The 14,334-nt window shown below is 39.2% G+C and overlaps 1 protein-coding gene across 7 annotated transcripts in view; it reads left to right on the top strand.

Moving 5' to 3' along the window:
• Positions 1 to 14,334, top strand: part of HSPBAP1 (HSPB1 associated protein 1) — a 53,833-nt gene that overhangs the window by 22,685 nt on the left and 16,814 nt on the right. For 6 of the 7 annotated variants that reach the window (XM_047448919.1, XM_017007179.2, NM_001320728.2 and 3 more), the window contains 2 exons: positions 2,265 to 2,446; positions 11,787 to 11,923. In XM_047448919.1, the coding sequence (XP_047304875.1) occupies positions 2,265 to 2,446; positions 11,787 to 11,923 (319 nt within the window). Of the gene's footprint in view, positions 1 to 2,264; positions 2,447 to 11,786; positions 11,924 to 12,293; positions 12,376 to 14,334 lie in introns of all 7 variants that reach the window. The other variant, XM_047448920.1, reaches the window with a different exon arrangement.

Below are 14,334 nucleotides of genomic sequence, written 5' to 3'. Positions count from 1 at the left end.
CCTGACAGTAACAGTTCTCGTATGTAATTTTTACATTTTTAGTTTTAACATTTTTTAATGTGCAGAGCTTGCTGTAACAGAAAATGAAGTCTTCTAATGAGGCCAGTTTCTGGGGGCTGCAAATCAGGCTTGCCTGAGATAGCTGGCCTCAGCAGAAAAGTCCTGCTTAGTCCGCCCCAGGGGCAAGTAGCTCATTTAATGGCTTTAGTATTCAGTTGGACTGAATTCTAGGAAGTGAAAACTCCTAAGACAGTATAATATGTTTAGGCTTATAGTGGAGTTACTTAAATCTTTTAGAAATGACTCCTATTTCCCAGAGTCATACAGCTTTCTTGCCACATGCACTTTTGTTTGTCAAAATTAAACTTTATGTAATTCTGTGCTTTTATGGTAAATTTTTGATGAAGTTGATAATTTTTTGGTTGTTTTTTGTTTTTTGTTTTTTTGAGACAGGATCTCACTGTGTCACCCAGGCTGGAGTGCGGTGACACAATCTCTACTCACTGCAGCCTCAACCTCCAGGGCTCAAGTGATCCTCCTGCCTCAGCTGCCCGAGTAGCTGCAACTACAGGCACGTGCTACCACATCTGGCTAATTTTTTTGTATTTTTTGTAGAGACAGGGTTTCACCGTATTGCCCAGGATGATCTCAAACTCCTGGGCTCAAGTAGTCCTCCCACCTCGGCCTCCCAAAGTGCTGGGATTATAGGCATGTTCCACTACGCCTGGCCAATGTTGGTATGTTAAGAGTTTATGTATATTGATTGTTTACTATGTGCCAGGCACTAAGTGCTTTACAAAAATTGTTAAAATTTAAATAGTTCTTGAATATGTACATTTTAATCTTTTAGATAAATGTGCCCTAGTTAAGTTCTTCTGCTTCTCAAAGTGAGGTGACAAGTTAAAGTGGATGAATTAGGATGATTCGTTGACATACACCCTGCCTCTATTACCTCTCTGCCATTCTGTGGCTTAGGAAAAAGAAGGTAAAGGAAAAAGATTATTGGATAATTCTAAGCAGTTACAGGCAGAAACGTAAGAAAAGATAAAAGCTGTTGAAAGAAGAATGTGAATATTCTTCTCTTCCTGCTACTGATTCAGCTAACTTTTAAAGGGTTCCAAGTAAATATATGAATGGATAAGAAGTACTAATAATAGTGCCTAACATTGACTGGGCACGGTGGCCCACACCTGTAATCCCAGCACTTTGAGGCCCAGGTGGGCAGATCACTTGAGGGCAGGAGTTCAAGATCAGCCTGGCCAACATGGCCAAACCCCATCTCTACTAAAAAATACAAAAATTAGCCAGACGTGGTGGCACATGCCTCTAGTCCTAGCTACTTGAGAGGCTGAGACGCGAGGATTGCTTGAACTCGGGAGGCAGAAGTTGCAGTGAGCCGAGATTGCACCACTGCACTCCAGCCTGTATGATGAGCAAGACCCTGTCTCAAAACAAAAACAAAAAATAAAAAAATAGTGGCGAACATTTATTGAAATCTGCTGTGTCAAGCACTGTGCTAACTGATCTACATCACATCCTGAAAGGATTTCATGTTTTGTAAAGGAAGTCATAATCAGATTTCTTAAATATTAACTTCCTCTGTTCATTTAAGTTGCAAAAATAAAATTAATTTCATCATTCTTTTAGAATAGTTTTTGTGTCAATCCACTGACTCCAATCTTGACTCATTGGAGTCATACCCATAATAACAAGCCACTGTGGACAGATAATACATCTTTTATTGAAGCTTTCCTGATCAACCCTCATCTCTAGTGGTCTTTGCCTTTTCCAGGTGTCAGCAGCATAAAATTTTGCATTTAACTGTATGGTGCCTCAAGTTTTTATTTACTAAATCCTCAAGTTTGGATTATTAAATCTACTCATAGGGTAGTCTTTAATCTTAAGGTTAAAACTGCTTTATACTTTTATGTTTAATCCTGAGTATTGTGAATTTTGTAAATGGCACTCATTATATAACAAGTACAAATTAATTTTTAAATTTTTTAATTAATTTTTTTTTGGAGATGGGGTTTTGCTCTGTTGCACAGACTGGTCTCAAATTCCTGGGCTCAAGCCATCTTCCTGCCTCAACCTCCAGAGAAACTAGGATTACAGGCATGCACCACCACACCTGGCTCAACACGAATTTTTAATTAGTCTTCAAAGTTAATTTTTTGGTTGAAATTATCTTTATTTTAAAAAAAAAACAATAATTAGGAAATGTGTTCATTATACATTTAAGGTTGCATTCTCTTACATTGCAGTTCCTCAGTTTGAAACTACATGTAATTACGTAGAAGCTACACTCGAAGAGTTTCTGACCTGGAACTGTGACCAGTCTAGTATTTCTGGACCATTTAGAGATTATGACCATTCCAAGTTCTGGGCTTATGCTGACTATAAATATTTTGTCAGTCTATTTGAAGACAAGACAGATCTTTTCCAGGTAAGTCAGAACCTTCCTTCTAATCTTGGTAGGAATTTGTTTTTGAGAAAAGAACACAAATTAGAATCTCCCTGGCACCTTCTCTGCCTTTTTCTCTCATAAGTAATCGCCATGAATCTTGGATATTTCACCCACTCAAACCAAAAGATTTGCTGAAGAGAAGTGTACCATTTGGCTCACACAGATGAGCAGGCTTCCTTGTTTTCCTACTCCCAAACTTCCTACACACCCTCCTTTGCTTTTAAACAGTGCTTGAGTCGGTTTGGAGTATGTTAGAAGCATAGATTGTGTATAAAACTTCATTGCCTCCTGACCTCCATATAAGTTCTTGTCCTGTCAGTGAGGCAGATGAAAGCATAAAGCTGATTCTGTGAAGGAGCATTCCTTGGGCTGTGACCAGGCTGCTGCTGCAATTTCTACCTGCTCTAGGGGTTTTGGACAGCTGTTTTCTCTGGCAGTTCATGGCCTGAGGCAGAGAACACTTGGCTCCCAGTATTTGGTAGTGGAAGCCCTGTAGAAGTGTGGGAGTGACTTGCAGAAGTAAAATTATGGAAGTTCTTTGCCGTATGTTGACATAACTGACAACAGAGTTTCCAGACTACCATATCCTCTTTTAAGTGTTTTCTACCTTAAACTGGCAGTTTATTTTGTGAGATAATTTTGCAAACTCCCTGCTCTTGTTGCCATGTGTCTTAGGTGTGGGGCAGGAATGGGAGCCATCCTGGAGGCTGTTTGGAGGACTCTGCCTTGCCCTGACTCAGGCCAAGGCTCCAGAGTCCTTCTTCCTGCCCCTTCTTTGTGGAGAGAAGTATTTCACCATCCCTGCAGGCTGTTCACCCCTTCTCCTCTCTGCCACCACCCACTCTCTGGACTTGGCTTTCATATAGGCTGATAGTTCTTTGGCTCCTCAGTAATTTTCCATTCAGTGTATATTTTTCTTTTTTATGTTGAGTCAAGATGTAAATGCTGATGTTAACATAGTTATTATAATAGATCCTCCCATCTCAGTCTCCCGAGTTGCTGGGAGTATAGGAATGTGCCACTGCGCCTGGCTTAATTTTGCTTTTTTATTTTATAAAAAAGGAAAAATGTGTCACCTTGCCCCATAGTTGTTTTTTTTGTTGTTGTTGTCATTGTTGTTTTGAGATGGAGTCTCACTCTGTCACCCAGGCTGGAATGCAGTGGCGCAATTACGACTCCCTGCAACCTCTGCCTCCTCCCAGGTTCAAGCAATTCTCCTGCCACAGCCATCACCCACCCCCTGACCCCAGTAGCTGGGATTACAGGTGACTGCCGCCATGCCCAGCTAATTTTTGTATTGTTTTGTAGAGACAGGGTTTTACCATGTTGGCCAGGGTGGTCTCAAATTCCCGACTTTAAGTGATCCACCAGCCTCGGCCGCCCAAAGTGCTGGGATTACAGGCGTGAGCCACTGTGCCCGTCCTGTCATAGTTGTTAGTTGAGAATGTATTTTCATTCTCATACCCATGAAAGAAATGCATAGGTTTTAAAAACATTCAGTAAATGACTCTGAATTCAAAGTCAATACCAAATCTACTATTTACTCATTTTTAAATGATAATTTTAAGGTAGATGTTTTTTCTTACAACCTTAATTGTGATCACTTTATGGTTCTTTAATTATGGAACTTACAGGTTTCATAGTTAACTTTAAAAGTGTTTTGTTATGTTTCTCATACCCACGCCCCACCATTCCGTAAATTAGACTAGTACTTTACTCCATATTTCAGGTAAAATATTGCTTAATAGTAACATTGATCATGTACTTACTTTTTGGGGGAATTTTTCTAATGTTTTACACTTATAATCCTCAAAGTAACTCTATGATTTAATAATTGTCCCCATTTTAAGAAAAATGAGACCCAAAGAGGTTAAGTAAACCTTTTCTAAGATTATACAACAAGGAAGGGGTAACCCAAATAGTCTGCCTTCAGAGCTTTAACTACTACAGAGCTTTAATTACTGCTGTGCCTACAGAGCGTGTGCATACATTCGGTCCTGTTGGGACTCTCTGTCCTGAGTGTAGGCTCACTCTGCCTTGGATGAGTGTTTGATCTGACCCCATTAGTAGTTCTGTCCCACCCCAGGCAAGGCAGTACTGTGCAGTATGTGACCTGTCCATTAAGTGCGGATATAAAGGGCAGCCTTTTGGCAATGTGCTGGAATTCTGACTGAGCCCTTATAAAATCTGATATTTTGAGTTGAATGAGTTTTCTGTCAGCTCATATTATGGCAATTAATTCTGCTATGAATAACCAAGTCCATTAAGATTATATCATCTTTTGTCTCAAAATTTTCTGGGCACCAAGTCTTCTTACATCACAGGTACCTGTGTTGGTTTAATTCATTCAGCCACCAAGTCTTATTACTTGCTGTTTCAAGCTTTCTTATATCTGTCATAAAATGGTGGGTAGTTAAACATTAAAATGGGTACATTTTAAAAATGTTTATTGATTTATTTAAAATGACACAACCCACTATACGTTAACATAATAATATTTTTGAGAAAATAACTATATTCAAAAAATGTTTAATGTCATTAGAGGGATAGATTGTTGTACATTTTGGCATGTCTTCTTGATGTCTGGCTGTAAGAAGACAGCTGGATTCTCTGCTTCTCCATTCAAGCTGTTGCAATTTGTTGGTTTGTTTAAAGTATATGAAGAAAATTTTGCCTCACACACATATGAAACTGAAAAAGGGAGGAGTATTTATTAATAACAGCCTTTTCAGATAATTGTGGATTTTTTTATACCACACACACCAAACTTGATGAGGGGTAGTTTCTTAAAGGTTCATTAGTTGCAGTATAAAAATCTGAACCTATAATGAATGAACTCTCTACTCTTATAAAATCCATTGGTCTGTCTTGCACAGAATGGATCTTATGTAATGTTATTCATGGACCATTTGGAAAATATTGACTTACTGAATTAGTAGATCTTCCAAATGTTGACACATTTTCAGTATACTTGATACATTTCATTATTCAAAAAGTCACATTTGTTAATACCACTGTTCTTATCAGAAAAATAGTGTTAGGAAGCTTTCAGGCTCATGTATTTCTTTTTTTTTTTCTTTTTCTCTTTTTTTTTTTTTTGAGACAGAGTCTGACTCTGTCACCCAGGCTGGAGTGCAGTCACATGATCTCAGCTCACTGCAACCTCTGCCTCCTAGGTTCAAGCAATTCTCCTGCCTCAGCCTCCTGAGTAGCTGGGATTACAGGCGTGCACCACCACACCTGGCTAAATTTTGGATTTTTAGTAGAAACGGGGTTTCACCATGTTGGCCAGGCTGGCCTCGAACTCCTGAACTCAAGTGATCCGCCTGCCTCAGCCTCCCAAAGTGCTGGGATTGCAGGCATGAGCCATCATGCCCAGCCAAAAATGCAACTTTTAAAATAATATAATTAACTATAATTACTATCCAAAACTTACGAAGGATAAATATTTCAATCCAAATTTCAAACAGCCCCTTAAATGGACATTATACATTAGCAATTGTCTGAGTCTTTTTTTCCTTAGAAAAATTACCTTAGGTACATAAACAGAAAAGGCTTGATAAACACCTTAATTCTTACATTCCAACTTGTCTCATCAGAAAGCATCACTGGCCATCAGACGCCATTATTCATTACCAAATCACCTGCCTCAATTTCAACATGCTCTCATAGCTATGTTTTAAAGTCCAAGACATGTTACAACTAATCTTCCATCTACTGTATTTTGGGATTCTGTGTCCTGGTGACTTAACGAGGCTCCTGACCTTCAGTAGCCAATTCAAATCACAATATCAAATGGAATCTACCTGAGAAGCATCCTTGGGGCAAAATCCCTTTTGTTACATGTTGATTCTTAATAACTTCAATTATGATGATACTTACGATAATTGCAAAAGGTAAAACTTGTCATTCTTACCTAATGAGTCTGAGAGCAAGAAATTTTGTTTTGTACTGTCACAAATTCCCTACCTTTCTAGGAAAGTAGAGAACAAAATGTTCAAAACAAATGCTTTATTTAGTCAATGATATGATGTATAACTAAAAAATAATAAGATTAATTTTATTTGCTATACACAAAAGTCAGTTAAGTGTCAAAATCATACTTTTAGGCCATCTCAAGGCTACAGGATATTTTCCAATCATATTAGTATGTTTATCAATGTACATATTTTTCATGGATGAATTTAATTTGTGGAAGAAAAGAGTTAATAAGAGGAAACTTCAAGTAGAGGCTATAAGTAAAAACTTAAAAAACTAGTAGAGGGCCAGAGAGATTAAGAATTTCTTACCAAGGCTGACAAATGCTACACTGATTAACTAGAAGCCACAGAAAATTTGACAAAGGTGAAGCTAGGGGTTTAAGTCAAAACATTCTCTGAGGGGTCCTAAAGACCAGAGAAATATCAAAACAAGAAATAGAGTAGGAAAAAATCCACTTATATAATCATTCAAATACCTATTATGTATTCAGCACTATGTTAGCAGTTTGCAGGAATAAAAAATTATAAAACATTGCCCAAAGAGCTTACAATATTGTTAAAGGAACAGAACACAAACGTTCTGTGTTGCTTACCATTTAAATAGTAATCCAAATAAAACATATAGGAAGGAAGGCAAGGGACAGATGGATATGGGGACAAGCGGTTGAGAAGGCTTCATAGCCAAGGCTGAACCTGAGCCAGGCCCTAAAACATAGAACTTTAACAGGCAGAAATTGAAGGGGGCATGAGCAGAGGCCAGGAGGGAAGAGAGAACATAGGTCAGTGGGGAGATTGGACAGGGCCTTGCGTGGAGCAGACAGGCGGCATCAGCCATACTTGGGAGGGTCTTAAATGCTATCCTTATATAATTTTAACTTATAAAATGTTTGTGAACATGATTAAAGTATTTTAATTTTAATCTGGAGTATGATTTAAAATGTATTTTCATAAGAAACTGTTTTAGAATTACTTAGAGGAGGAGTCAGAACAGAAAAAAATAGAGTAATTACAGTTGTGATGTTGTAAACCAGAGTGGCCCATAGACCCCTGGGGGTCCCTGACACCCTTTCAGAGGATCTTTGAGATCAAAATTATTTTCATAATACTTCTAAGATGATACTTGCTTATTTCACAGTGTTGACATTTGCACTGATAATACAAATGCAATGGTGAACAAAACTGCTAGTGTCGAGACAGTGGGACCAAAGTGTACTAATAGTATTGTATTAAAAAAAAACACACACAGCTTTATTGGGGTATAACTGATATGTAATAAACAGCATATATTTAACGTGAACAGTTTGATTAAGTTTTACATATACCTACACCCAAGAAACCATCACCACATTCAAGATGACAGACATTTTGATCATGTCCAGAAGGTTCCCAGTGTCCCTTCCTAACCTGTCTCTCCCTACACCCTCATTCTCAGACACCACTGATCTACTTTCTGTCACTGCAGGTTAGTTTGGCAGTTCTAGAATTTCATAAAAATGGAATCATATAGTAAGTACTCCTTTTTCATGCTAACACTAATCAAAGGAGGAGACAGACATAGTTAACATCAGAACAAGTAAACCCAAGGTAGAGAGGGTATTTCATCACAATAAAAGGTCACTTCACCAAGCTGATATAATAATCCCAGATGTGTATGAACCCAATAACAGTTTCAAAATACATGAACAAAACTGACCAACCTAAAATGAGAAAAACACAAATACACAATTATAGTAGGGGGATTTCAATACCTCTGTCTCTATAATGGGTAAAACAAATATACAGAAAATCAGTAAGGATACAGGAGACTTGAACAATCAACTTGATTTAATTGACATTTATAAAACACTCCACCCAACAACAGAAAACACTATTTCCAAGTGCATATGGAATCTTTATCAAGATTGATTATATTCTGGGCCATAAAACAAGTTTCAATAATTTAAAAGGATTTAACTCATACAAATTATGTTCTCTCACCACAACAGAATTAAATTAAAAATTCATGACAAAAAGATAGCTGAAAAATCCCCAAAAATTTGAAATTAAACATTACACTTCCAAATAATCCATAAGTCAAATAGTAAATCACAAGGAAAATTAGGAAATATTAGGCTAGTCCTTGACTATAAGTCAAGGCTGAAGAGATATGCTAAGCAACAGTCTGCAAGTAAGAGACAGGGAGGCCCAATATTAGCCTTGGTATAATTTAGTTGCTTAAAAAGAAAAGTGCCGTCTGACAGTGCATTAATGGTATGATGTGCGGGTCATGGAATGTTACAATTCCATGGATACAGGTTCTGTGTAGACTGTATCTGGGGTTCAGTTTGGGAGCCAGGCTTTAGGGCTGTTGACAAAGTAAAGGAAATTGAGAGAAGAGCAATTGGAAGGAAAAGTTAATGCTGCTGTGTCTAGGTTAAAAAAAAAAAAAGATAAAGGAGAAGTTGGACAGTTTTCTGATAAAAATAGCAATTTTTGGCAGGAAATAAACTTGTTCTCTTTAGTTATAGAAAGCAGATCTAGGACCCTCCTCTGTAAGCTACCAGGAAGTAGATACTGATTTTGTAGTAAGTGGTCAACTAGCTAGCTACTTGTCGCTCTTTTCAGGGATGGTGTAGAATAGAACTTGCTGAGAATAGATGATTTTTAAAGATTTTTCCAACTCTTGAGGTATGTATGAGTAGACTCCAGAACAGATCACCCCACTGATCACCCTTTTTGGTTTTACAGATGCAGCACTCAAACAGGGCCTCCTGTTTCTAGCAAGACTCAAGACAGATTCCTGGGCCCACATTGACTTCAGACATTTGACTACCCATAAGTGGCTGAACTTAATTGGGAAGAGAATCCCAACTCTCAATGCTGTCTATTTTTACACTGACAATTTTGCTTTTTTTTTTTTTTTTTTGAGACAAGGTCTTGCTCTGTCACTCAGGCACTCAGGCTGGAGTGCTGTGGTGCAAACATAGCTCCCTGAAGCCTTGACCTCCCAAGCTCAAGTGATCCTCCCTTCTCAGCCTCCCAAGTAGCTGGGACCACAGGTGCATGCCACCACGCCCAGCCAATTTGTTAAAAAAAAAAAAAAAACCTTTTTGTAGAGACAGAGCCTCACCAAACATTGCCCACGCTGGTCTTGAACTCCTGGACCCAGGCAGTCCTCCCACCTCAGCCTCCCAGAGTGCTGGGATTACAGGCATGAGCCACTGCACCTGGCTGACAGTTTTGCTTTTTAAGTCATTATTACTGTTAGACAGGAGGCCAGGGAAGTCTCTCCTCAGTTTCTCATACAGTAACCTCACCCTGTAGAAAAACCTTCAGTGATTCTTTCCAAAGCAGGGCTCTAGAACAGGGTTTTTCATGTGGGGTTGGTCTGTCACCTCTTTGAAAGTATATATAAAGTTTCGTGTGTGCTTTTTTCTGAGGAGAAGGGGCTTTGGTATTCATTAGATTCCTGAAGGGATGTATCTATAAGATTAAGAATCACATGACCTATCTCTTCTTAGCTAAGGCAAGTCTCTCTTTTTTCCTTTTTATACTGAATGGCTTTCAGCTACCTTTAGTTAAATTCCTCAGACTGAGGTGTGGTAAATTGTTCAACAAGGACCAGGTTAATTGGAAGCCTCCCCTAAGCTCCCTGGCTGGGTGCAGGGCCCTCCTGCTGTGATCTTAAAGCATTCCCTGCATACTTGTGTCAGAGCGCTTGTTACATCATATTGAAAGGCTCTGTTTATGGGATTATCACTCATTATTAGACTTGAAGGGTTGGCCTGTGTTATATTAATTTTTGTATCCCCAGCACCCAGCATCATACCACGTATATGGTAGGTACTCAAAAATGTCATTGGCCTGAACTATTTTAACCATCATAAGTCAACAGATTCTTCTTTCCCTCCCAAGCAGCCAGTGTGTTCCAAGCTGTAACCCTGAGCCAGGTACTAAATTAGGCATTGAGAAAACAGGGGTAAGCTCCCAGTATGGAGCTTATAGGCTACATGCAGAGAGAACAGGATTTTTGCCACCCACTGGAACTGCCACATGTGAGCCATGTGCATTTACAGTGGTGCTGACCTTGCAAAAATTCCCCCTTCTATGACAGACATTAATTATGTGCACGTATTCAGCCATTTTCATCACTCAAAGCAAAAATGAAAAAAAAAAATGCTCTTTCTAGTCTTCCTCAAAACCATCCATTAAATTTCTCTTTAAAATCCTTTCTCTTTGAATACAGCTGTTAATGTTTTCCCTCTAAAAATAGAAAATTTAGACTGTAGTTACTGATAAAAGGAGTGTCAGCATTGAGAACGATGTTCTGCACATAGAAGTGGGGTGTTTTTTTTTTTGCTTTTATTTTTTAAAACTGAAAGGAAAACCTCATGATTAAAATAAAAATAAGGCAGAGCCATCATGCCTGGTTCACTAGTATGTTTTTTTTCTTTTCTAGCTTATAAATCTGTTTAATCACATGGATTTGGGTTTATGTGTGACCCTATTTTTCTGTGCTGCAAATGCGCCATCGGCTTCTAAAAGTATAGGCTTTTCCCAGTAGTTGACTTGGGCAGGATTTGCTCACAGAACCAGGCATATGGAGAGTCTTAAGTCCAGAGCACTATGCTGTCTCTGTTCTAAAGATCATTGCACTTAAGAAGTTCATGACTTTGGGGAGTATATTGAAAGCCATCCATGGATGTATATTTCAAAAGATGTATTTTGACACCCTCATCTGAAGACTGATCTAGTAGGTATGAGCTAAGGCTCCAGCATTGATAGTTTTAAGTAACCCCACTAATGTAGGAGAAGTCTTCATTTATGTGGTCATTGAAGTACACAAAGTTAGTAAGTTGCGTATGTACACAAATATCTGCACTGCTTAGAGGAAATACGGCTTTCTGACTTCTTCGGTTGTGTCTCAGAGATATTTGAAATAATGCCATTTCCGCTGCATTCACTGTTCTAACTGCCCAAAACACGCTTTCCCTAAATATCAGCATAATCCTGTCTGTTTATTGTCTGTTTCCAACTCTGAAATGTAAGCTTCATCCGAGTAGGCATTTTGTCTCTTTTGTTCATTGATTCATTACAAGCTTCCAGAACAGTGCCTGGCATGTTGTAAGTAGTCAGTAAATATTTGTTGAATGATTACTATTAGTGTGGTTATTCAAATATGTTATTGGCTAAAAAGATTTCTTGAACTGCCCTGGAAACCTAACCTCTTCCATCTGTAGCATTTTCCATAATAGAATATTCCAACTGCTAAATAACAGATGTGCAAGTGAAAATGGGCAGCATTACCATACAGAGAAGTTGGTTAGTTCTTGATGGATTGCAACTTTATTTCAAAACAGGATGTGAAATGGTCTGACTTCGGGTTTCCTGGAAGAAATGGACAGGAAAGTACATTGTGGATTGGCTCCTTGGGAGCCCACACACCCTGTCATCTGGACTCCTATGGTTGTAACTTGGTATTCCAGGTACAAGGAAGGTAATGTGTGTGTGTGTGTGTGTGTGTGTGTGTGTGTGGAACGCACATGTGCATGCATGCAATAGGGGTGGCAGAGAGAATAGGGCAATACCCCAAGGTGTAGTCCCAGCCCCATCCTGTCAGCCTGCCTCATGATTAGGGCAGACCTCTTAACCTCTGGTTTTGGTTTCTCCTCTGTGAAATGAGGACAGTTAAAATGGTGGTTTACAGGTGCGTGCCTTGTCATGATCAGGATTGTCTTCAGAGAGTTTATTCTAGAACTCTGAGATTCCACTCCCAGGTCAGCTAGACAGCTCTCTGCTTGGTCTTTTTTTTTTTTTTTTTTTTGGTAAATTAGAGACATTTGAGACAGTCTTGCTCTGTTGCCCAGGCTGGAGTGCAATGGCATGATCATAGCTCCTGGACCTCAAGCCATCCTCCTGCCGCAGCCTCTCAAGTATCTAGGACTACAGGTGTGTGCCAGTATGCCCAGCTAATTTAAAAAACTTTTTATTTAGAGATGGAGTCTTTCTGTGTTGCCCAAGTATGGCCTCAAACCATACTCCTGCCTTGGCCTCTCAAAGTTCTGGTGTGAGCCACTATGCCCAGCCTATGCTTAGCTTTTCTTTTTTACATAAGAGTTTGTAGTTTTCAAACTTTTATTTAAAAATGGGAACACCCTTTCTTCAAATCTAAATAAATAAGAGCAGAGCAGTTTGTTGAAAGGAAGAGGCTTCACTGTTGCCCTCAAGCTCCTCTCCAAGGGATGCCAGCGATCCTGGTTTGAAAAATACTGGACGCTTTCAACTCTAAATTTTAGTTTGTGCCTACTTGACACAATACAGTGTATTGTTACCTTAGGTCAGTTTTTGTCTCCATCTATCTGTGGACTCTAGAAGATACGAGGGATAGGCAGTGCTTTTGATATACCTGGTTTCTGGAGTTCTATGAGAGTCTAAGTGTTTGTGCCACTTGGAGGATGTACTCAGATGTATGTGCAGCCTTATTTTCCCCTAATTAATGATGCCCCAGTCTTTTCTCCTGGTCATGTGGGACATTTACAGGGCAGCACAGAGAGTAAAACAGAAAAGGTCATGTGCAAGTTCTCAGACCTATTAGATGTGAAAAGGATTATGAGCAGATTCAGGAGAAATAGTCAGTATGTCTGTGGATACATTTCACATGTGAAGAACTCTGAGAATTACAGAATGGTAGAAGTTAGTCCACTCTCTGATGCATTCCGTCTTTATTAAAGGGCATAGAATGTGTCAGGTACATAGCTACACGCTGTGGATGCAAGAGTCAATCAGATGAGTGTGGTCTCTATCCTTGTGGAGTTAACAGGCTGAAACCTTAAACTTGGTAAGAGAGACAACATTTTAAGTAGCTGCTGTCCATGTGTTCTGAATTGGAAACAAGCCAAAGAAATTCAAGTTGGAAAAACATCAAAAAATACCTGAATTCTCTCTATGATATAAAGTTAATATCACTTTATTTTAACTTTGTAATAAGACATTTTCTGGCCTTATATAACTCTGGAATAATAAAATAGCTTTAGTAAATATCCATTGAGTATCCTTCTGTACAGGGACCATGTGTTACAGTAGGTACAGAGGTGAGGGAGTAAGACACCCTCTCTATGATGGGAGTTTACAGCCAGAGTGCAAGGCAAGCCGACAGACATCCATGATACAAGGCAGAATACCCATGCTCTAGAGGAAGGTTTCACAGAGCTGTGGGACTAAAAAGTAGAAGAGATCATGTTCCTGTTGTAAAGATCAGGGAAGATTTCACAGAGGAGCTGCCATTTGTGGTGGGCCTTGAAGGATGGATAAGTGCTCAAAAGACCCAGATGGGAAGGGCAGAGGGACCCTGAGAAAGCATGGGGTGTAGAGAGGACCCCTTGAGTTGTCCAGTATATGTTGTGCATTGGAGACAGAGGGAGTAGACCAGAAAGGCAGGTAGGTTGAGTCCCCAGGGTCTTGACTTCCAGGCAGACACTGTTATTCTCTGTTCTTTCAGCATCCAGAACCATGAGAAGTTTTTAAAGCAGGAGATCACATGATGATTGAATACCTTTTCTAATAGAAGGATTCATGCATTTTACATTTTTTAACCCAAACAAAGCAGATTGGATGGGATGGTTATCATTATGGCTGTTCCTTTGGGAAATATTGCTGTGGTGCAGGGGAAGGAACTGGGATCTGGAGAAGCCAGGAGATCTGTGACCTAGCTCTGAATCCACCACTACCCCAGTGAGTGACACTGGGCAAGCTCTGAGTCTTTCTGCCACTACTTTGGAAATGAAATTAGACTGATGATCTCTTCAGAGCCCTTCCAACTCTAACATTCGAAGCATATCAATACTGAAAACTGCTTTCAAACTAATCATACAGTGGAATGGAGCAGCTCTTAAAGCTTAAATTAAGTTA

The sequence above is a fragment of the Homo sapiens genome, chromosome 3 (assembly GCF_000001405.40).
Source record: "Homo sapiens chromosome 3, GRCh38.p14 Primary Assembly".
NCBI lineage: Eukaryota > Metazoa > Chordata > Mammalia > Primates > Hominidae > Homo > Homo sapiens.
The sequence above is the reverse complement of the archived record's forward strand: the minus strand, read 5'-3'. Positions and strand labels throughout refer to the sequence as shown.